At 35.9% G+C, this 25,034-nt stretch overlaps 1 annotated feature.

Moving 5' to 3' along the window:
• Positions 24,523-25,034: an enhancer, noted in NCBI's record as "NANOG hESC enhancer chr2:222109712-222110223 (GRCh37/hg19 assembly coordinates)". NCBI's record gives its function as "activates a minimal SCP1, AML or CMV promoter by ChIP-STARR-seq in primed H9 embryonic stem cells {active_cell/tissue: H9 hESC(primed)}" and the evidence as "EXISTENCE:reporter gene assay evidence [ECO:0000049][PMID:30033119]".

Raw genomic sequence — 25,034 nt, forward strand, 5'->3', positions numbered from 1 at the left:
CCAGGTTCACGCCATTCTCCTGCTTCAGCCTCCCGAGTAGCTGGGACTACAGGCGCCCGCCACCGCACCCGGCTAATTTTTTGTATTTTTAGTAGAGACGGGGTTTCATCGTGTTAGCCAGAATGGTCTCGATCTCCTGACCTCGTGATCCGCCCGCCTCGGCCTCCCAACGTGCTGGGATTACAGGCGTGAGCCACCGCGCCCGGCCCACTTTTTTCTATCCTGGGTATTAGCAGTGAAAATAACTCTCTGCTGTGGTATAAGCTGGCTAAATATAGCCTTCTTTCCAGTTAGCTAATTAAAAATCCCATGGCACTACAAGGTTCTTGAAGAATAATACTGTTGGCATCTTAGCAGGCCAGTGAGGGAATATTTTATTTTGAATCATTTTTCTGTTTCTAATGGAAAGCATGTCAGCTATGGGCTCTTCTCCTTAAGCCCATGGACATTACTGCCTTCATCCTCTTTTTGTGGGACAGTGTAAATAACACCATGCTCAGGTTGATGCACAGTTCATGTCTGGTGAGCTGCACAGTGGCTAAGTTTCAGGACCAGCTCAGCCACTGCACAGCTCAACAATCATGAGCTGTGCATCAACCTGCTTTGATCTCAGTTTCCGTCTTTATAAGATAGGGATGTTAAGTGAGAATAGAATTTTTCAAGTGTCTCTCACAGAATATTCATAGAGATTCACACACACATAAACACGCGCATCACAGAATATTCATAGAGATTTACACACACATACACACATGCAAATACATGCATACACACACGTACTCACTTCATGCAGGCTCACCTTTTGAGAAATATCTCTTTTGAAAACTTAAAATGCACTTAAGTGTTAAAGGGCCTGAAAAGTCTTGCAGTGAAAAAACAAGAGTTTAAGCAAGGATTTCTTAAATTATTGCCCAAAAATGACCCTCACATTCTGTTTTTTTTTTCCTGCTTATTTTCACACTTTGAGAAATACTAGGCTAGAAGACCTCAAAGGACTCCTCCAGCTATTACATTCTATTACCATCTCATGATTCTACCATTTTGCCATCTCATCATAGAGGATTCTGTTGATTTTTGTCTTATTGGTTTTCAAAGTCATTGCAAAATTTATAATCATTATTTGAACCAAATTTTGCTTTAGAGGACAATAGAGTCTCCACAAAATACCTTTGCTTCTAGAATAAATGCAGGCAGAGAAACATGGAAGGACTAGACTGGCTGAATCTTCTGGCCTTCATCCTTCTCCCATACTGCATGCTTCCTGCCCTTGAACATCAGACTCCAAATTCTTCAGCCTTTGGACTCTTGGACTTATATCAGTGGTTTGCCAGGGGATCTCGGGCCTTTGGCCACACACTGAAGGCTGCACTGTTGGCTTCCCTACTCTTGAGGTTTGGGGACTTGGACTGGATCCCTGGCTCCTCAGCGTGCAGGCAGCCTATTGTGGGATTTCACCTTGTGATTGCATAAGTCAATTCTCCTAATAAACTCCCCTTCATATATTTATCTATCCTATTAGTTCTGTCCCTTTACAGAAAGCTGACTAATACACATATCCTCCTCCCTCAGGGAAGGTGACAGGTATAAAAGTGTTTTCTTTTATTTCTATGAAAGGAATCTAAGGATGAAAGGATAAGGTTCCTGTGCCTACTGCATTTTCAAAACCTATTTTCTAGCTATCTGAAAACTTTTTATAGAATTCAACTGTCTCTCCCTGATACCTCATGCCCCCACGCAGGCGTGAAGGTATGTTTATGACGTGAAAGGAGGATATTTGAAGGAAGTCTGTCTTGTGATCCCTGGCTGAGCTCCTGCTTAACGCTGTGTGTGACCAAACCAACCTTTCATCAAAGGAGTCCTTGCCACAAATCTCAGTGATTTCAATCATGAGATTATTTTTCTTATTTTGAATGCAAGTGTAAACAGAATTTGAAAAAGCTCTTTTAACCTTTTGGAAACCATTTGAGGGTTTGTGTGCCACAGACATGGACAATCTTTGTGTTAATAAAACGCCAACTGAAAATTTTCAATTCTAAGCCCGTTACCTCGGAAGATTGTTCTAACCCACGGTAATTTCATTCCAATAATTTTCATTTAGTTATCATTTCCCATTGATCTAACATGCTTGCCTATCCTTCATAATAGTCCAGCCTGACAGGACATATTTGTGAAAAACATCTGATTACCTCCAATAAAGATGTTTTGCTAAAGACTGATTTGATTAATTTATTCCCCCACATTTTTTCCCCTTAGAACTTGCAGGTCTATAATTTACAAGCTATATCAACTCACCTTACTAGCATTACCACTTGAGTCTAGTCATACAGGCGAATAGCTCCAGGTGCTAGAATCATTAACTAAGAATATTAAACCCGTAAATAAGATCTTCCTGTATGTGTTTTACCAACAAAGAGTCTTTCGTATTTCCACCAATTAACGCTAAGAAAATTAAACATCATTTACAAACAAGATTAAAGACATTTTTCCTTCCACAACCAATTAAGAAAATCAGAAGGAAAATGTTTTGATTCATGCTCATTATATATATGTAAATATATCACATAATGGCTCATATTCAGCAAATATGAAATACCAAAACACAAATGGAAAATACTTTGGCATTTGTCCGGCCCTTGAGCTGGCTAACGCAAAGTGTGATATGAACGTGTGTTGGTCCTGCTGTTAAACATTCACCGATCTGAATAAATTAATTACAAACTATTATTTTTCAGAAACACAGTGAACTTTCAAAACACAGAAAAGGAGGAGCCTGTTCCAGTTGCTCACATTCAACAGAAGATGAGAGGAAAATTATCGCTAATAGTTGATCTAATGGAAGATAAAAATTATCTGGCATTTGGGCAAAATGGCATGGTGAGTTCATACTTCAAGGAATACCCCCCCATACAAGCACAACAATAACTAATAAAATTTTAAAATGAAAATTAACAAAAGCAAGAGAAGCCATTTTCTTTGTCCTGAAACAAAACAATGATTCCTACTCATATAACTGAAATCAGGGAGAATGGTGCCTTGAAACTGCTGGCATCTAGGCCCAGAATCTGTGGGTAATAGAATCAAAAGCAGCCCAGGTCTTGTAATGGACTAGCACTAGGATTATTATACTAAACTGAAGTCTTGGGAAAAGTTGCCCCAACCTCTCTATTTAGCTAAAATCACCTGCAGAGAAACCTGGCTTAGTAAAATCTGCAGTATCAACCAAAACAATATTGCATGGGAGCCCTAAGCCACCAGAACAAGATTTGTACTGACCTGAGAATGAATGAGACCAGGTGGAGACAACTATAAAATGACTAGACTGGAATAATTAGGCAGAGAGAGAGAAACAACTCCCATTCAAGATAAGCATGCAAGTGAAAATTCCAGAGCCATTGATGGAATTAACACTGAGGAAGACAGTAATAAGGAGATGGGTAGTAAATCCATTTTCTCTTATGAGCAAGCTGTTAGTCCTTAACTGTGTAATTCCAGCATGCATGCACACCCTGCTAAAGACTATCTTACTAACTTAAGAGTGTGTGTGTGAATGAATTGTGTGTATATGAAAAAATATGAAACTATGGAAGAAAACAAAAATACATGCCACACTCTAAATTATGTGATAGTAAAATAAACATTGCTAGTTTCAGAGTCACTGAAGAATGATTCAATATGTGGCTTCCCAGAATTCCAAAGTAATTTTCTTTAATATGTAAGTAGACAATAAATGCTCTTGACTATATTGAGAAGTTCCATCACGTTAACATTTATAATTTAGGTCCTAATGAGAGGCAAGAAAACACTGCATTAAGAGTTAGATGATTTAAGCTCAGATCCAGTCCATACAGTTTGCCAGATGGGTGACCTTGGGTAAATCCTGTGGCCATCTTTCAATCTCATTTTCTCATCTGTAAAATTATCTGACCACCTCGAACATGGGAATATAACAAGAAACAATAAAAGCACTTCCCTGCTTCATCAAATCTTACAAAATGGAAAAAGAAGATATATATGTCCATATTAATGCTTGAAAACAAGACAGAATGTCATTTATTGTGACAGAGAGTATAAGGAATTCCTGAGAATAGAAGCTGGTAGACTTGTACTGATGAAGCAGAAGTCTTCATCAAGAGGAACCACAAACTGAAACATGTTCAAGAGGAGAGAGCTCTTCCAGAAATTCCTGAGATAACTCAAATTGAGAGAAATACATACCAAGAGCAGGCCAAACACATTCAACAATTATCAAAGGAAGAAATTAAAGAACTTACCCTTCCTCTGCCTACACTATGTACCATGAAACAGTAGTATTTTCTCTCTACTTAGACATTAAGGTAATACTATCTTTAAAAAAAAATAGTGGACAGTATATTTGGAGAGGGTACCTAAAACGGGTGTTGATTCTAGACAGCATAGCCCAGCCTGAAGATAGAAGGGCGGTAGCCAATTCAGCATACTCTGAGCACTAATCCCTGAAATGGGGTCCAGATATAAGAACCCCACTGAGCAGGCCTTAAGAATGTGGCCCAGGTAATTTACTAGCGGAAATAGAAGTCCCTATGTGCAGAACAGAATCTTGTCCTGCACTCTGCTTCTCTTCTTCTGTAACAACTTAAGCAAAGGCATGGTATTGAAAATAAAATCTACATCCACTAACAGTGATCCAGATGAATCAAAGACAAGATAAAATTATAACTCAACCTAACAAGAAATGAAGGAAATCAACTACATGAGAGATAGATACAAAATTTATTAAGGAGAAAATCCATCTTCTATGGGGGAAAACAATAATGGGAAAGAGAAATATCCAAGAAGCTATCACATTTATAAAAATGTTTAAAGCAATATTTAGTGCATTTATTTCATACTGCTGAGCACAAAATGACCACAAATTTAGAATGTTAAAACAACATATATTTGTTATCACATGTTCCCCATGAGTCAGGAGTCCAGGTACAGCTCAGCTGGACCCTTTGCTCAAGACTTCACAAGGTGCATTCAAGGTGTCTCCTAGGTTTAGATTTTTTTTTTTTTTTTTTTTTTTTTTTTTAGATAGAGTCTCGCATCATCACCCAGGGTGGAGTGCAGTGCCGCTATCTCGGCTCATCGCAACCTCCACCTCCCGGGTTCAAGAAATTCCCTTGCCTCAGCCTCCCGAGTAGCTGGGATTACAGGCACATACCACTGTGCCGGGCTAATTTTTGTATTTTTGGTAGAGATAAGGGATTTCACCATTGTGGCCAGGCTGGTCTTGAACTCCTGACCTCAAGTGATCTGCCTGCCTCGGCCTCCCAAAGTGCTGAGACTACAGGTGTGAGTCACCGCACCTGGCCTGCATCTTATCTGGAGCTCAGGATTCTCTTTTCAAACTCACATTATTGGTGGCAGAATTTATTTCATTGTACCCAAGGCAGATTTCCTCTTCAAGGACAGCTTGGAGAGAGTCTTTGCCCTCTTGATCCTGTTTTAAAGAGCTCACCTGATTAGGTCATGCCCACCCAGGAAAATCTTCTTTTGATTAACTTAAAGTTAATTGATTAGGGGACTTAATTACATCTGCAAAATTCCTTCATCTTTACTCTATAATGTAACAATCATGGAGTCATATCCCATCATCTTTGCAATATTCAGTTACAGGCAAGTTATGTTTCTACCCATACTCAAGGGAGCAGATTATACAACATGTAGGTCATTAGGGGTTATAGAATTTTGTCTGTCACAATAAGAAATATGGAACATGTAAAATATCAAAATAAAAAGTAAAAACTCAAAAGCTGAATTGTTTAATAGATATCTGGAGACTGAATTTAGATCATCATTGAAATATAAATTACATACATCAAGATACACAGATTATAAAGAATACATCTTAGCAATACATACCCCAACCAAAGTTTTCTAGTGCCTCTTCTTAGACAGTCCTAACCATTTCTCCAGCAAAACCTTTTCTGATTTCTATTACCATAAATTACTTTTGCCAGCTTTATAATAAAGGTTTGGAAAGTGAAAAATCTTGCCTTGTTCATAACCTTATTGAGAAAGGGTCCAATATTTTAACATCAAATACAATGCTATCTGTAGGTTTTCCATAGATGCCCTTTATCACGAATTCCTAGTTTGTTGGGGCTTTAAGTCATAAATCGGCAAATATTATTAAATGTTTTTTCTGCATCTGTTGAGATAAGATTTTTAAAAATCTTAATAAATTGCAGTAATTTTTTAATGTTTCACTTGATATTATTATCTATTCTTTTTTAAAAATTTTTTCAAGAGACAGCATCTTTTCTTGCTGTTGCCCATGCTGGAGTGCAGTGGCACAATCATTGCTCACTGCAGCCTTGTCTTACTGGTCTTAAGTGATCCTCCTTTCTTGGCCTCCTAAACTGCTGAGATTATTGGTGTGAGCCACTGTGTCCAGACTATTTTTTTAATATATTGATGGATTTAATTAGTATTCTAAGGGACATTAGGCTACAGATTTTCTTTAATTGTAATGTCTGTCTGGCTTTGGTATTAGAGTTTTGTTGGCCTAATAAGATGAAATAAGAACATTTTTCTCATCTATTTCCTGAAAAATAAGTTTATGTAGAATTTGTGGTTTTTCTTTCTTAAAGGTTTCAGTTCACCATTAAATAATAGGGATTTATTTATAGGGGGTAATTATAAATTCAACTTTCTGAACAGATATAGGGCTAGTATGATTTTCTATTTCTTTTCGTGTCAGTGTTCTTAATTTGTATTTTTCTAGGAATGTGTCCATTTCATCTAAATTGACAAATCACATGAAATTATTCATATTTCCTTGTTATTTTTTACTATCTAAAAGATTCATATTCACACATCCTCATCTATTTCTAGTAATTATCAGTCTAGCTAAGGGTTTATCAATTTTATTGATTTGTTCAAATATTCAAATATTAGTTTTGTTTAATTTGATTTGAACAAATTTGATTTGTTCAAATGTTCAAATATTAGTTTTTCTCTATTTCTCCATTTTTCTGTTTTATTGTTCTCTAGTATTACCTTTATTATTTCAATATTCTACATACTTTGGGTTAATTTGCTTTCATTTATTCTATATACTTTGGGTTAATTTGCTTTGGGATGAGGATTAATTGGCAAAGAGCAAGTTTATGAAAAGTTCTACATTTTGGTGGGCATGTGGATAAATGAATGCGTGAATTTGTCAAAACTCATCAAATTACATACTTAAGATTTTTGTATTCCACTGTATGTGAATTATCCCTTGATAGAACTGAAAACAAATATTAAACTCTCACTGGTAAGTTTAGGTTTTGCAGTTATTCACAATTCTAAAACTGCTTTCCATGTATTCTAGACCTGAGCAAATGAATATTTATATTAAAGATAATTTAAGCCAGGGTTTTTACCACTAGAGAAGAAAGTCACAAATGTGGAAAACAGCAAAACCCTGTAGAGTTAGTTTGGAACTGGAAGTACAATGTCTTTAACTGACTTCCAAATGTTTCCAAAAATAATATACTCTGTGTGTGTGTGTGTGTATGTGTGTGTCTAGAGAAAGAGAGAGAGAAGGAGCAATAGAGACATAATAAAGAAAAATATAAACAACTGGTAAAGAATATACAAGAGCTCCTTAACCTATTCTTGCTCTTTTTCCTGAAATAAATTTTGATATCATATAAAACTTTAAAAGTTACCAAAAGTAAGTTCTGCTATACAAGTGAATATTGACCTATTTAATCATTTAACAGGGAGGTGCACTCTTAGCTGGAGACAGGATGAGGAGACTGGCACTGATTCCTGCCTTAGGTAGGCATGGCAGTTTTCTGGGATGAAAAGGTAAAGAACAGAAGCACAGGGAACATTCTCTGGAAAGAAAACTGTTACGATATGTTTGTTCTTGAGGGACTCAAAATAGAAAATCCCTTTTCCTTTAAGAACACTTGCTGGAGGGGGTTGGGGGAGAGATAAAATTAAACATTGGCACAATGGTGCTGGAAGCCACTTTAGGAATAACTTCTATAACCTTTTTAGTAATTTTCCATGCTCCGGACAAAAAATTTTCTGTAACGTTCAGTTCTAAAAACAAATTGTCCTTTTTCTAAGAACTATGCAACATGCTCATTTCCACCTTTTTCCTTTCCTAATTTTAGAACAAAGCAAGCTGTTATTAGGTTGTCTTTTTGTATTTATCATGTAAAAAACTGCTGAAGGCTTTCTTGAAAACTGAAATAAAAGAAATGTGGTATATTGTTTTCTTTTTCATTTTCCTTTTTCTTTTTTTGGTATGTGCATGTAAAGGTAAACATTTCAAATTGCCACAATATAATTTAATTCCTCTCAAAGTCTGACAACGCCTTAATAACAACACATTATTCAAGGGCCTGTTTAAGGTTCCTGCCTCCATTTAACTTTTCATCTAAGTATTTATCTATTGTACTTTATCCCAGATCCTATGATAATAAAAAATACACATCACTTTGCTTCTGATCTGTTAGGAACATGCTTCTTTCTATAAAGCCAGGAAAAGAGATTTTCTATTTTCACCTCCAGTCTGACACTCAAGACTCCAGACCCTATTCGGTACGACTGTCACTTCTGGTAAAGTACACTTGAACAAAGATTTAAAGCCAAATACTTTTTTAAATTATGTAGATTTCTGTTGGAGGAATAGACTTCTTATTCCTAAAAAATATATAGAAAGCATGAATATTAATTCAGAGATGAGTATGTTCTATTTCTAATAGGGCATGTTTTTGGTACTACCAGATGTTAGCATATTCTTAATTCAAATCATCAGGTTCAGTTACATCACCAGGAAGGGCTGCTGTATTCTTCCTGTATTTGAGCTATTAATAAAATATGTTCTTAATTTTAAAAATTGCTTGGCTTGGGTGTGGGGCATTACTGTGGGGAGTTGAAAATACAGGAAAGCAAAGCAACATATTTGGACCACTGAGGTTTTCTAAGAAACACACTAAAATAAATTTCATATAATGTTAGAGCCATTTTCCCTTTAAACTCTATGTTGTCTGTGATACAATACTGATTTAAATCTACTCATTAATCCTGATAGTGGCATTTTAATTAAAGGTATATAACAGGTTAATAAACCCAACATCATTTTAAATCCCTGAAAGAAAAAGAGAAGTGTGTGTGTGTTCATGTGTGTGTGCACGCATGCATGTGTGCATGTGTGCACAATATGAAAACTGTCAAATTCTTTTCTGCAATCCAAAGCCTCTCTATTCATGACTTGAAATGAAGGGAATGCACCCTATGGGAAGCATTCACCCAACCTGTGCACAAATGTTTTGGCTGTGAAGTAGTGGAGACATATGGAAATCATTTTCCTTACATAAAACATGGCTGAGATAAAACATGGCTGAGATAAGTCACACCTAAACAAAGGTTTCCAGGATCTTCAAGAGCCAGAGTAGTTCAGAGTAAAGGTATAGCCCTACTACTCTACTTCTTCAATGTCAGTGATCCAAAGAAAATGAGAAACTTATTTTTTCACTCTTAAAAATCAACTTATTATGAAAGATTATTATTTACTTAAGTTATTTTTAATTATGCATACTATTGCTATATGGTACCATTTTATTTTACTGATTTTAAATAGAGGTAAAGGTTATATTTCACATTAAGGATACTAGAAGCCAATTTTACCTAAGTTATAGCCGAGAAGAAATATATTTTTTAAATTACATGGAAAAAACCTCTAAGGCAGAGAGGGCAAATAGGTTTCATGCTGAAAGCCACTTTTAATCAATTGGTAGTGAATACATGAAACATGGATTGAAAAGGAATCTAAAGTGGTGACCAGCCTTCAAGGGAATGAGAACCATTATTGATTAATGATGTCTGCCTTGGGCACTAGACTGGAAAGTTGCAGCACTTCTCTTGTGTATTTACCAAACCTAAGCATGGTGAAATGTTGTCAGCTTTTAAGTACATATTCAAAAATTATGACTTAAAAGAAATAGTTACATGCTTATAGACTATTGGTGAGAATATTAATTAGGTCAGCTACTGTGGGAAGCAGTTTGGAGATTTCTCAAAGAACTCAGAACTACCTTTCAACACAGCAATCCCATTACTGGATATATATCCAAAAGAAAATAAATTGTTCTGCCAAAAAGACGCACGCACTTGTATGTTCATCACAACACTACTCACAATAGCAAAGACATGAAATCAACCTAGGTGCCCATCAAAGGCAGATTTGATAAATAAAATATGGTGTATGTACACATGGAATACTACACAGACATAAAAAAGAACAAAATCATGTCCTTTGTAGCAACATGTATGCAGCTGGAAGCCATTACTGAGTGAGTTAATGCAGAAACAGAAAACCAAATTTCTCATATTCTCACTTATAAATGGGAAGCTAAACATTGAGTACCCATGGGCATAAAGATAGCAACAACAGACACTGAGGACTATTAGAGGGGAGGAAGAGAAAGGAGCAAGGGTTGAAAAACTAACTCTTGGGTACTATGCTCACTATCTGGGTGACAGGATCATTCATATCCCAAACCTCAGCATCATGCAGTATACCCACGTAACAAAGCTGCATATGTACCCCTGGAATCTAAAATAAAAGTTGAAATTATGAAAAATAAAAAAAAGTTACAGATATTCTAATAAAGAAATATGAATTTATAAAAATAAAATAAAATAAGCATGAGATCAAAATGAGACAAGTACATAGGCGAAACCATACAACTGATGTGTGTGCTATGGAAGCATCACAGACTTAGCCCTTGATTTTTTATCTGCCAACTGAAGGGAAAATCTAGGGTACATAATTCATTGCATCCCTAAGATAAAAAAGAATCATTTTCCAGGTGGCTTACACACATTCTTGATATGAAGATTGTCCAAGGATTTTACTCTAATAAATCATAAAGATAAAAGAATGCCACATAGTCAAGAATACCCTTAACAAAAATGTAACAATGAACTTAATAGGCCTGTTTTGATCATGACTTTTCATATAACTTGATAGCATGCCACTAAAATAGAATTTAAGAACAGCAATTTTGCAAGAGACCAACCAAATGTGCTTTCTACTGATCTGGTTAAGTTATAATTTTAATATCTAAATCCAGAAATCTTTGAATATTGATTTAGTATGTAGGTAACTACTGAGTGGCTACAAGCTTAAGACTATTCACTAGCAAGTATTTGGAATGCATTACTTTCTGTTGCCAGGCATAGATAAATCTGCATGCGTTGACAGTCAACCTGATTAAAATAAGGGTGAATTTCAGTCTGGCTTTTGAAGCCCATGGCTGCAGCTAAGAGGCCAGCATTCTTCCTTCCCACTAGCAGGGCTACGACATTCAACTTCTACCTTCTCTGTAAAACACGAAGTGTATGACATGTCCCAGTTTTTCTTTTGTTTTATTTTCAATTCACTCCTACATCCAATGGAACTTTACTTTTCAAAACAACAGAATATAATAATTTGACATTACGGAAATGTATTATTAAGAAGTTTAGTTGCATCAGGAGAGTCACCCAATCAAGGAAGTTAACAAAAGCATTTGTGAATCCAGGTCGCTTCTCTCTCTAGCCTAGAGCTTTTGAGTTTGGGTTTATGAATCCTCATAGGCCAATTAGCTTAGCTGGTTAGAGCCTGGTGCTAATGATGCTAAGGTCAGAGAGTTGGTCCTCTGGGAGTCAGTGCACTTTGAGTAGAAAAAAATAGCACAAAATCATTTCCACAGCCATACCTTGGACCTTTAACCAAAGTCATCCATCTCTCAAAGCCTCATTCTTAATCCCAACTGAGACTAGATAGGAGCGCGTGGCTGGCTCAAGGCCACTTTTCACTAATATCTGATTTTCTGATGGTGGGCTACTTCTAAAAAGAAGAAATTTTATGACTTCTGCCTTTTAGTCAAATTAGATATGCTGTTTCCATGCCAAATATACATTGATTTTTCCAAGTTAATTTCTACTCAATTCAACAGAGATAATGAAATCCAGATGTAAGAAGGCAAATACTAACATTTATTGAACATCTATTCTGTCAGGCACTTTTGGATACCTTATATACATGAAATTATTTAATACTCACATCAACCCTTCTGGAGAATGGACATACATGTGCATATAAATAATTATGTAAATAAATATAAATAACTCTAAAACTGGGTTTCGTGTATTGGAATCAGACAGACTTGAATTTAGTTCCCAATCCCTTAATAACTATAGTGTTAGGTAACCTTATGTGAGGTTTTTTTTTTTTTTTTGGTAGGTAAATGGGGGATATTAATAATACCTATCTCACATCATAAAGATAATGTTAAAATTAAATGGAAGGATATACACTAAATTTTTAGCATAGTACCTAGGATACAGAAGTATTCAAGAGAGAAGGGAAGAGACAAGAAGAGAGGGGAGGGGAGGGGAGGGGAGGGAAGAGGAGGGGAGGGAAGGGAAGGGAAGGGAAGACTCAAGTAACTGAGTTTTTCCATGTTCTTGTACCTTGAGAGTGAGACAACAATATTTTAATAAATATTAACAAATCAATAGATTTGTTTTTTTCTGTAAAGGGTAAGATAGCAAATATTTCTGACACCCGCATCCCCAACCCCAACAACTACTCAAGTCCACCAAGAAGCAGCTGTAGACAAACAAATGGGCATGGCTGTGCTCCAATAAAACCTTACCAAAAGCAGCAGAAAGCCAGATTTGTCCCACAGGCCATAGTTTGCCAGCCAACCCTTGGTCTAAAACTGTTTTATGCTCTTTGGTTACAAATTAATAAACTACTAAATTTAACTTTGCAAAGTGAGACTTTTCAATTCTGAATGAGCTTTAATGTTGCATTACTGTTAATTTTCTATTGCTATCTTTCAAAGCTTCTTTGTTCAGCTAAATTTGACCATAATTACAATGTTGTTAGAAATGAACAAAGAAGTAGGGAACAAGATAAGTTTAAAAGAATTTACCAGGAAGAAGAAATCTCAGCATACATCATTTCTTATATATCAGATTATTTAAAATTAATAAATCAACACAAAGGATTTGGATTTTGAAATTAGGTACTTCAGAGTACATAGTTCATCTTATTTCTAGAAAAAATCATTGCTTGTATAGGGGTTATGGAAATCTCTGGATTTTTCCTGCCACCTAAACATTCTGAGGCCCAAGCGCTAGTATCTGTCCTCTGCAGGAGAATATTCTCAGCCTCATTGGCAAGATTGTAGTTCTGAGTCTGACATTCAAGTCTTTAATCCATTTTGAGCTGATGTTTGTATAAGAAGGGTCTAACTTTATTCTTCTGCAAATGGATATTCAGTTTTCCCCAAGTCATTTGCTGGAGAAACTGTCTTTTCCCCAGTGTATGTTCTTGGCACCTTTATCCAAAATCTGTTGGCTGTAAATATATGGGTTTATTTCTGGGTTCTCTATCCTGTTCTTTTAGCCTATGTGTCTGTTTTTATGCCAGTACCAGACTGTTTGGGTTACTATAGCTTTATAGTATATTTTGAAGTCAGGTAGTGTGATGCCTTAAGATTTGTTCTTTTCACTCACGCTTGCTATGGCTATTCAAGGTTTTTGTGGTTCCATGTGAATTTCAGAATGCACATAAATATTCTGAGGTATTATCTTAACTGATTTATAACTTATTTACAAAAGGACATAATTTTTAATACTCTTTTCTGGTCTTGATACAAAGAGTTTCCACTAAAGATAAGAAGTGGTCATTCATTAAATAAAATGTTTCAAAGTCCAATAAATCCTAACATCATTTAACTTAGCATGTGTAAGCCACGTTTGCATCAGTTAGAAAAATGGTGGATGCTTTACACAAAGAGGGAAATCTTGCAAAGAAAGAAGAGGAAAATGCCAGGGCCTTTGTCAATATTTTGATAAAACACATAAAAATAGAATAATTTTATTTTGTTTCATCTGTTTCCGTTTGGTCTGCCTCTTATATCAAATACATTTTGCACCTCCGAGCTCAGTGACTACTCAGTGATTTTTATTTTGTTATTATTTTCTTTTTCTACTTAAGTCTGGAATATTTTGAAAGAAGAATGTTGGCTACTTCCTAACTTAGACTACCCTAATAGGGCCACAAGATTCATACAAGAAAAGATTTTGCCATTTCTTTCTATAAATCTCTGACATCACCCCAAAACTCAGGTGAAGATTTCATTGTGCGCTATCTGCTAAGAATGACACCATATTTGTATCACTGTGATTTCTGTTCCCTGGTTCAACTGATTAGAAATAGGTGAGAATGAGTCTATCCTCTCCCCACTGTCTCACAGCTATGTGGTGAAGAACATCTGCTTTCTTCTCCCTCTCACATGTGTTTAGGCAATGCTAGAATATTTCTCCTTACTTGTGACAACTTCAGTTTCTTAGCATCCAGGAGAAATATTATTTTAAAATAATAAAATACCAGTTTTAGAGAAGAATGGCTAAAAAATTAAACACTTAAGATGGGAGTAATTTCTGGCAAGTCCATTCATTCATTCATTGCATCTGAATATACATATTCTGTCTCCCCAAACTCAAGACCTCACTGAGAACGTTCCATTTAGCAAACTCTATATAATGACATCTAAGAGGAGTCCCACTAATCAGTTTCCAGTTCCAAAGGGTCAGCACAATCCAATTATTCTGAAAATCTGGTAAGTGCAACACATAAGAAACTTTTTACCATTTCATGTGCATCATATGGCACTGCCAAAATGCTTTGGCAAATTTGCTTATGGATTATTTAAAAAATCAAATTTGTTTGGCATTATTAATATCTAACAAAGAAATACCATTGTTCAAAGGAATGGAACAGCATGTCTCTTCACCTTCAACTCAAAAACAGAAATATGACTTGGGTCAGTGGACATTTACAGGAAGGTAACAAACCTGGTTGAGAGAAACATGCTATATTTTTCCAAAATGTCAGCCATGTGGATGGCAAGTGAAATAGGCCTAAGACTTGAAAGAACTTTGACTTCATCCAATGGAGATTAGACTCCAGGACAGTAAGATTTAAGATTAATGCTTATACTTCTTTGAAGCCATTACATGTAGTTGCTTTGGCTAAGATATTAATATAAGTTAGGAGGATTATTAGAAACCAGTATAATTATATAATGTGCCTAGGCCCATAGGGCCATACAATTTTTTTATGATAAACATAGTGGTTGACATTTAAATTGTTTTCTTTTCAAAGCCAACCTTATATTTAATATCTTATTTAGTCTACTTGAACTTTGGGAAGCTGGTAGGTTGAACCTTAGTATTTCTACTTAATATATAAGAAAACTATTACCCAAGATGGTTCATACTACCTCTGTTCAGAGAAGTGGATAGTAACAGGATTCACATTTCAACCATTAAATCTTCCAAATTTAATTTTTTTTTCCAATAGCAAAAGTTGTGCCTTTTTAAACTAATGCTTAGAGGTGAGTCCTAATATTTTGCTGGTGATTCTTCTTCAAATAGTTTTTAATATTCACCTGACATTATCATTGTATAGGCAAAAACAATATACACAAGCACAAAGACCATGTCAAAGTCCAATACGCTACAAGAAGAAAGTGATTTCTTCATATTTTGAATTTTTCTTTGTCACTTTAAACTCTACAGCCACTGTGATTCTATGGAAACACACAAACAAGGGAAACCAAACAGGAAGCGCTCTATTTTCTTATTATCAGCAGGAAATTTAGCTCAGGAAGTACAATAAAACCTTGGCCATTCAGAATCCTTAGGGAATAGATCCTTCCAGAAAACCAAGCTTTGCAAATCTCTGAGGGCAAATCCCCTTAAGTCTTGAAAACAGGTTATTTAATTGTTTTGAATTGAAACATTTTGAAATGTACTAGGCATTCCCTGCATGTTTAACTGAATTAGTTATTTCTTGGTCAAAGATCTTTTAACGCAAATCATTTACTATATACTACCTAAATGCCCTTAGATTCAACCGCGGAATGTAAGAAGACTTCAACGATCAATTAAATCACCCAAGTTTGCATGTGTGTATATGTGTATGCATGCTAATTGTGTTTGCTTTTGGAAGATTTTCTGTCACTTTCCTTGCAATCAACTCTTGTTCATTCTTTAATAAGTAAACCCTCTTTCCCCTTTTAATTCGCAAAATTGAGTATAGATAACCAAGCCTGTTAAAATTGAGAATAGGCTACAGGTGGAAACCTGAGGTCTTCTATGTACAGCTAGAATATGGCTTTATCTCATGGACTCTGTGATACCTCAGTAAAATGAAAATCAAATAAGTATTCTTTATTTTGCAGTCTGGATCCAATTAGTGTTCTTAACTGTGTAGACACAGTCTAAGACAGAATGGTGTTAACAAATTTAAACATAATGGTTTATAATAATGGTACAATAGACATGCATGTGAATTCAATGATAGTTTGGGTCCTTGGGTTTAAGAAAATAAGCTCATATTCAAATTTTTCTTGGAATCAAAACTATCATAACTTGTAATTTTAAAACTACCAAGTTAAATTTCAGCAATTAATGCATTAATTCAGAAATATCTACTAAATGGTAATTATGTGCAGGCACTGCCTTGTGTTCAATGTACCAATAAATTGAGCCACATTGACATGTGTATTCTTAGCCAATTTTATTAGTTTGGCCATTATTTATAAACAATTTATTAATTTCATTAATTTAAGCTGTTATTTATTTAGTTATTCATGCAAGTGTCTTCTATTTGCAGAGATTATGCCAGATCTTGAGGAATTAATGGGAAACCAAAATAGATATGCCCCCAGCTTCTTATGCAGCCAGTGTATTCTTGGGGGAGTGAGACAATAAAATCATCAGCAAATATGTAAAAACACACTATGGTCAGGACAATGTACAGGAGGTAGAGAGGCTCATGAGAGCACATTCCTGAGCACTTGAGTGGGATGTCAGCGAGTCTCCTGCCAGATAGTCAAAGTTTAAGGTAAAAGTGAATGAGTTAACCAGGTAAAAGCAAAGACTCTGGGGCAGGGCTGGGATACATGTAGGGTACCCACAGAGGACTGCATGACTGAAGCTCAGAAACTGAGCAAGAGAATGGAGAAATGTGGAGACTTGAGGGGCTGGCCAGATGATAAAGAGCCTTATAAACCTTGTAGAATAGATTCTCTCAGAGATATTATTTTTAACCTACCTATGGGAACTTACTGAAGTAGTAACTTGTTTTCAAAGTGCAATAGAATAATTTCATATTAAAATATGAATGAATTTTACATTTTACATGAAATATAAAAGTAGAGAAACATGTATTGAAATGCCCTCCATGATCTCTTTAACCATTCCTGCATCCTACATGGATGTACCTTGATATGAACTCCTATACCTACTTCATTCAATACCATGCAACTTCAATTTCTGCTTTATGCTTTTCTGTGTTGCTTCCCATCTAGAAAAGTAATATAAGATGATCTCCAAAATACACTCAGTATCAAGTCAAGAGAGGGCTCATCTAGATAGAGCAGGAAGAGATCAAGAGCACCCCATCCTGACTGAAGGGGAAAGATACCAAAAGGACATGCCAAATTAAAGAATGATATGGAAATCTCTACAATGAGGGATTTCAGAAGAAAATGGAGCCATGGATTATGAGCTCAATTAAACTCTTGGAAAATATTATAGGTAAACATTTAATATATGTGTCAGAACACTTGGGGAAAAATTGTAGTGAGTACATAGAAAACTAAGAAAACATTTTAAAGATAATAATTCCCTTCAGGAAAAAGTAAAGAATTGTATAAAAAAAGGAAACAAAGTTGTAGTGTACCTCTTTGTTCAGGAGAGGCCACTTCATGTAAATATGTACAACTGGACACAAGAAGAGACTGAAAGTAGGGTGTGTGTACATGTGTGTGGTATAAGATAATTAAATCTTCATAAGCAGCTTATATATTCAATAGCTTATATATTGATAAAAATCACTATTAAATATTATTTCAGAATATAGATTTAACTTATATTATATTATTATAATACTTAATGTAATTAACCCAAAGAAGTGAAACTAGTAAGTATAGAAGGGAGAAGAGAGCTACTATTTTTGTTTATAAATTTTATAGGACAATTTGACATTTTAAGACATACGGATATGATGTTTTCATAAATATTAACTTTAAAAACAGGCATATGCATATATTTCTCAAATTATTTGAATTTATCTGATCAGTGGAAACTAGAATTTGGACTAGCATTTAGACAAAATTGAAAACAAGATAAGTCATTTTGGAAAGAGGGTACTGATATTTTCAAAGCTCTGCTCTTTCCGCATTTATTCTCGTATAATTGTCTTTTTTTTTTTCTACAGCAGTTCAGGAATTGCTAATACTACTCTTGAGGTCATTTTTGGAGGTGTGAGTTTAAATGGAAAATATCTGTCTTGAAAATCTGCCAACAGATGACAAGTAAGGAAAGGGATAACTTGCAGCTCCATTATTCTGAAATAGATTTATAAAGACAAAATGTGGTTCATTGAGGTCAGCTTCAGGATTCAACCTGAAATAGTCACAAAACTACCAGCTCCCTTTGAGCTTAGGAAACATACTTTCAGCACCTGAATGACATGACCTTCTTTGTACTTTAGAAATTATTAACATCTCTGGCTTACAGATGTTTAAAGACCAGAAAATTAAATGGAAAATATCAGAGAAATAATACTAATTATTCCTAATTAGTCTTAGAAGATCTATAAAAGCACAGAGTTATTTGAAAGGCTGTTTCATCTGAGATACTTATTCAAATTCATGAATACTCTGGAGTAAAGGTCAGTGGTCAAACCCTCATGACTTGTGGCTCCATGATGAAACTGTTTTTCCAAGAGTAGAGACAAAATGTTCAATAAGCAGTTACTTTAAATCCATTTTTTCTAATCATTTAAAAAAAATTTTATCAACCAGAAATGATTGGGCAATTTTGATAATAAAATAAGAATTCCAAAGATAAATTGTACTCAATGTCTTCAGTGCAAATTATGTACCTAATTTCCTTTTGTTCCCTACATAATGTTGTACTTTTCCACTAGTCCAAAAATTTTTATAGAAAAAAATTAATATCTACACAATAATCTTCTTAAGTCTGAAGGAGTAAGGATGAACCTTGTTGTGTTAGTCAGCAGTCTAGCTGCAAAACCCAGTATCCACTCCGCCTGGTTTAAGCAGAAAAAGAATTTATTGAAGGTTATTAGGTGTTCACAAAGTCTACCTGAAGCCAGATAACCAGGTTTCTGTGCTGTGCAGGAGAACCTTTGCTGGAAGTTTTGGCTACAAGAGCCAATACAACGTGATTAGAAAAACCTCATCACATTTTGGAGCTTCTTCAGAGAAAGCACTGTTGCAACCTCCTTAGGGCCCCTGCGTGGCATGAGTGGATACTGTGTCGGATTAGACAACAAAAGCTCTGCCACCTCTGTTCCCTAAAAATCAGATAATTTCTTTCAGAAGATGATTCCTGCACACACAACACCTCACTGTGCTCACTTCTGAACTGAGGTCCTGCCTGGATCATTGTATGGCCGAAGGTGACATCACGTTACACACCTGGACCCTGTGTGGGATGTAAAACTCTCATTAGTACATGCAGGACATAGTCTTCATAACACAAGAATGTCTCCAAACTTGAAAAGACAGACAAAAAGGTTCTGGGCAACCATGGCACATGGCAAATGTCCACTCTTCAAATGCCACAATAAATACAATTGGTTCAATCCCTAGTTAGTGACAATCAATGCTAAGGAGTTATAAGTAAATCACATTATAAATTATAAATTGCTTTATAAAGCAAGTTTCATAGTGGGAAATTCAGGCCTGCATTTAACCGAGACGAGACTGTGGTAATCAGATGGCCCAGAGCAATGGTATCTCATGGGATACCACGTGGGTTCTACAGTGAGTGATTTTCCATAGAGTTATCATGGAATAATGATGATGATAATGCTGATGGTGATAATAATGATAACTAACGTTTACTAAATGTTTCCTATCTCCTGAGCACAGTGCTGAGTGTTTTAAATAAATGAACAACTCATTTTATGTAACAAACACATTAGGTTGGCATCATAATTTTCCCTTTTCACTGATGAGGAAACCAGGGCTTAAAGAAGTCAAGGAATTTACCAAGAGGTAGGTGGAGCTGGAATTTGTACAAAGGCAAATCTAAAGAGCACCGGAATTCTGTAGCTCAAAAGCCTGAAAGTTCACTCCCAGCTCTATCACTAACATAAAATTTTGTCCTCCGAGTCTTGGTTTCTTTCTGTGGAAAATGAGAATTGAAACTCCTATCCTCCCTCTTCTACATGGCTATTTTGAACATCAAATATGCTAAGTAAACTCCAAGTTGTTATTAATATGTAAGGTGTTTTTATAACCAGTCATTCAGAAATGCTTTCCCAGATCTTGGTTACTATTATTTAATATTGTGTTATAAGCATTTGCTTGTTTGTTCTCTAGTTTCCATATCCCCTCCTTCAGGTAACAATTTCTCTTTGGAGGAATCTCATTCTACCCATTTCCTGCCATAGAGTATGGATGGAACTCTTCTCCCCCTCAGCTTGGGGAACATTTCCTAATTGGCTTCAGTCAGTATTCATGTCTGATTCCACTGACCTCAGTGATTGGCTCAGAGGGGAGCATGCCATCCAATGAGAACTAACATGATTACACAAGACGTTTGCAGGTTTCTGGAAATGAAGGTGTCTGCCCACTTTTACAAAAGCTACCAGAAGAGATCTTTCTCTTTCTTTAAGTAGCATAAAATGAAACTTCAAGGTGTGGAGCGTTTTGTTTTCATGAGAAGAGAGCTGGAGCTGGCAGGCAGCCACCCTGTAGAGCCTAAGGAAAGGACCAGTCAAAGGACAGCAGGACGTAGAGGGGAAAATTGGGACCCAGGCAATATCACCTGAGTCATGAATCCAGCATAGCTTGAATGCATATCTTCCACTGGACATTTTGGTTACATGGACCAGTACATTTCTTTGTTGTCTTGGCTAGCTTAAATTAGATTTTATGTAACTTTTACAACATAGTATTGCATAGGCTTTTCAAAATAGTATTTTGTTCTATCAAAAAATAGCAATTATCCTTCAACCCCTGTTTACATTTTCCCATTTGAAAGATCCCATTTAAGTAAATATCTAAACAACTCAACGGTAACAATTACCTAAATAGTGATCAAGATCCTTCACAATCTTATGATTCCATGTATAAACAATGCATTTCCCATCTTCTTCTACTACATTCAAATCAAAATAGTGAAGCTGGAAGGAATCATTTAGCCCGAATCCCTCATTATACAAATAGAGAAGCTAAGATTCATAGTGAAGTGACTTGCCTGAACTCAGCTAATTATTTCCAAAGCTAGGGCTAGAATCCAGGTATTCTGATCTTTTTTTTCCTTTATATTTCTGGCTTATTAATTCATAACAAAGAGACTGCTGGATCCTCTTTAAGTTGCCTTCAGATTAGAGCCAATGGCATAAACTTTTGAATCCCTTCGGTATTAAGAAATATCTATCCTTTGAAGATGAATTCAATTTTGGGGAGCAATCAAAAGTCATTTAGAGCCAAGTTCAGTAAAGAAGGTAGGTAATCATACCAAGTAATTCAAGTATTGGTCCAAAAATGGTGTAACATTGAAGTAATGAGGCTGATTTTTTTTTCCTTGTAGCTTATAAACCAGCTTTTATGTCATTATATTAAAATGGAAATTCCTTTGACATTCAAAATTCATTTTGGAGTGATATTATTCACAATTTGATTCTGTCATGTTTCTTGGATTTTAAGGGAGCCCTATTAATATTACTAGTTAAGATAACAGCAACAATATGGAATTTTTCTTGCTTAAGTAGATATAACTGAGAAAGAAAGCAAATAATGCAATTTAATTTAACTGTAATTTGTTTGATGCTTATATACCAAGCACTGAAGCAGACCTTGATATAAAGAAAAGAAATACATGACACTGAATATTTAGTCTTAATTTCCTATTTTAATGATGAGAAGTTGAGACTCAGAAAGGTTCAGTAAACTTACTCATAGATGGGAACTGAACAATGAGAACACTTGGACACAGGAAGAGGAACATAACATACTGGGGCCTGTTGTGTGGTGGGGGAGAGGGGAGGGATAGCATTAGGAGATATACCCAATGTAAATGACGAGTTAATGGGTGCAGCACACCAACATGGCACATGTATACATATGTAACAAACCTGCACATTGTGCACGTCTACCCTAGAACTTAAAGTATAATAAAAAAAAAAAAAAAAAAAAAAAAGATTCTTGATTCCCAGGCCAGCAATCTTGGTAAAGAACCAACCTATATTAACATTCCACCCCTGATATAATTAAATTAAAAATAAAAGCAGTCTTTAGCCAACATAAATAGTGGATTGGCCCCCAAAATTAACAATGCACACTTACAAGCATGACCCAGAATGTATAAAGTTATAGTTCTATTTAATTTCAGAAAACAAAATAGAAATGTTAATATAGAACGTGGAAGAGGGGAGAAATGATATTACCTGGAAATCATGAAGATAATGGAAATTAGAAAATCTACAAAAAGGAATATGGAAACTTGAAAAGTTGAGTGGAAGAAAAGATCACTGTTATTTATTAGTTGGGCAAAGCAATGAAGGAGAAGACTGTATAAACAGGGTACCAAGAAAGCGAGAAAGGTTTTCCAAAAAGCTCTGGGGAAAAAATAGCCAGTAATTCTGAGCCCTTATTTATGACTTCACATTCACTATGCAATTTAGATATTCATTTGGTTTCATAATAGGTTTCCACTATAAAATCTCTGAGGGTGGTCTTCCAGGCACCAGTTGTACAATGATAACTCCTCCTATTGTAAAACTTTTCTGGATCCTGCCAGAGACCCAGTGCCTTAGGCTTGTGAGACTGGTTTCCTAGGGAGCAGCCCTGCTGTAGATTGAGGAATTGGCATCCTATCCTGGCATAAGCATACCTGTGGGGTTGATATTCATGTTCAGTTGAATAGTAGACCTGGGTGTCCAGACCTAGGGACAGAAGTGAGCTTTGTTAAAGTGCTTTTAACAAAGCAGGGCATGTTAAATTCTCCCAAATCATTGTGGACAAAACTATCTTAAGCTAAAATTGTAATCTTAGTGTACAATGACAAGCTTAGGTTGCTTCTCTTGGCGTTGGACATTTTACAAGAAAGGTAGAAATGAGTACTCCAGAAAAGAGAAGGAAAGGGTGGCTTCCACGTATATGGAATATGGAAATGTACACGGTAGGTGATATTAACAAACACACCCCTATGATACATCAAGGATGACCAATGTTTGATGGTCAGAGAGCTGTGTATTCCCCCTTACTTTTCTTTTTACCTTCCTCCCAGTATATGTAAGAAAACTCACAAATGTGCAGTGACCGGAAAAACCACATGAACTATTAAATAAGCCAGACCCTTCATGCATATCTTATGGGAGGAAGCGATGAGATTAAAGATATGCAAGATTGATATTCAGTAGTTGTGCACAAGTGTGGATCTACTGAGACAAAGAGGTGATTAGCTATTTTAACACTACCCCTGGGTATGTGCATACTGTGAACAGTTCCCTAAAGTGATTCTGATATGCTCCTTTACCTTAGGAGAGACTCCTAGAAGACAGGACTCTGACTTAGTACAGAAATAAAATAGTCAATAGGTAGTGTGGCACCTATTGTTGCAGCATGATATTTAAAGTCAGCCATGTTGGGAGGCAGGAGGATCACTTGAGGCCAGGAGTTGGAGAGCAGCCTGGCCAACATGGTAAAACCCCGTCTCTACTAAAAATACAAAAATTAGCCAGGCTTGGTGGTGGGCACCTGTAATCTCAGCTACTCAGGAGGCCAAGGCAGGAGAATCACTTGAACCTGGGAGGTGGAGGTTGCAGTGAGCCAAGACTGGGCCACTGTACTCCAAACTGGGTGACAAACCGAGACTCCGTCTTAAAAAAAAAAAAAAAAAAAGAAAAGAAAAGTTAAATTCAGGTACGTTGGTTTTAAAATATAAACTAGACACTATGAATTTGGGGTAATAATCACTGCGAAACTCAGTTTTCTCATCTGTCAAATGGTTATAATAATTCATATAACAGAGGATTTTGTGACTATTAAATGAGACTGTATGTAAAAGGACCAAAATACGACTATTTAATAAATGTTAAAGAAAAAAAATTATTCTTGGCCGGGCGCGGTGGCTCACGCCTGTAATCCCAGCACTTTGGGAGGCCGAGGAGGGTGGATCACGAGGTCAGGAGATCAAGACCATCCTGGCTAACATGGTGAAACCCTATCTCTACTAAAAATACAAAAAAATTAGCCGGGCGTAGTGGTGGGCGCCTGTAGTCCCAGCTACTCGCGAGGCTAAGGCAGGAGAATGGCGTGAACCCGGGAGGCAGAGCTTGCAGTGAACTGAGATCTCGCGACTGCACTCCAGCCTGGGCAACAGAGAGAGACTCCGTCTTAAAAAAAAGAAAAAAAGAAAAAAAATTATTAACCTCCGTAATGATTTAAAAAACTTACAGCGTCAATAGGAATTTTTGGAGGTGTAGATACCAGAGTTGGGATAAAATTGAGTTCTCATCGTAAGAATACAATTTTCCCATTTACACATTTAACTATCAATATCTAAAAATTCCATCAGACAGGTTTTGTTTCTCATGTGTATCATGCTTAGAATAACAAAGCTTAAAATGTCTCAATTACTTCCTTTATTTAAGTGTGAGAAACGGGGGAGTAGGAATGCAGGGTGGAGTTATGTAAAGTCATCTTCCACTGACTCAATTAAAAGTATCCTTGCATAACAACAACAGCAAATTTATAACACTTTGCAGGTACATGAGCATCTTTTGTGTCAAAGTCTACCTCTGAGGTATCTGTAAAGTCTTCCTCCTGCTTTTAGCGATAGTCTAGAACAAGGATTGAAATCAAATAATACCATTAGTTTAATTCATATACTTAAAATGTACTAATTATATTATTTTGTTCAGATAAACAAACCTTCCTCTCTAAGAAAAATGG

This window comes from Homo sapiens, chromosome 2 (genome assembly GCF_000001405.40).
Source record: "Homo sapiens chromosome 2, GRCh38.p14 Primary Assembly".
NCBI classification, from domain to species: Eukaryota; Metazoa; Chordata; class Mammalia; order Primates; family Hominidae; genus Homo; species Homo sapiens.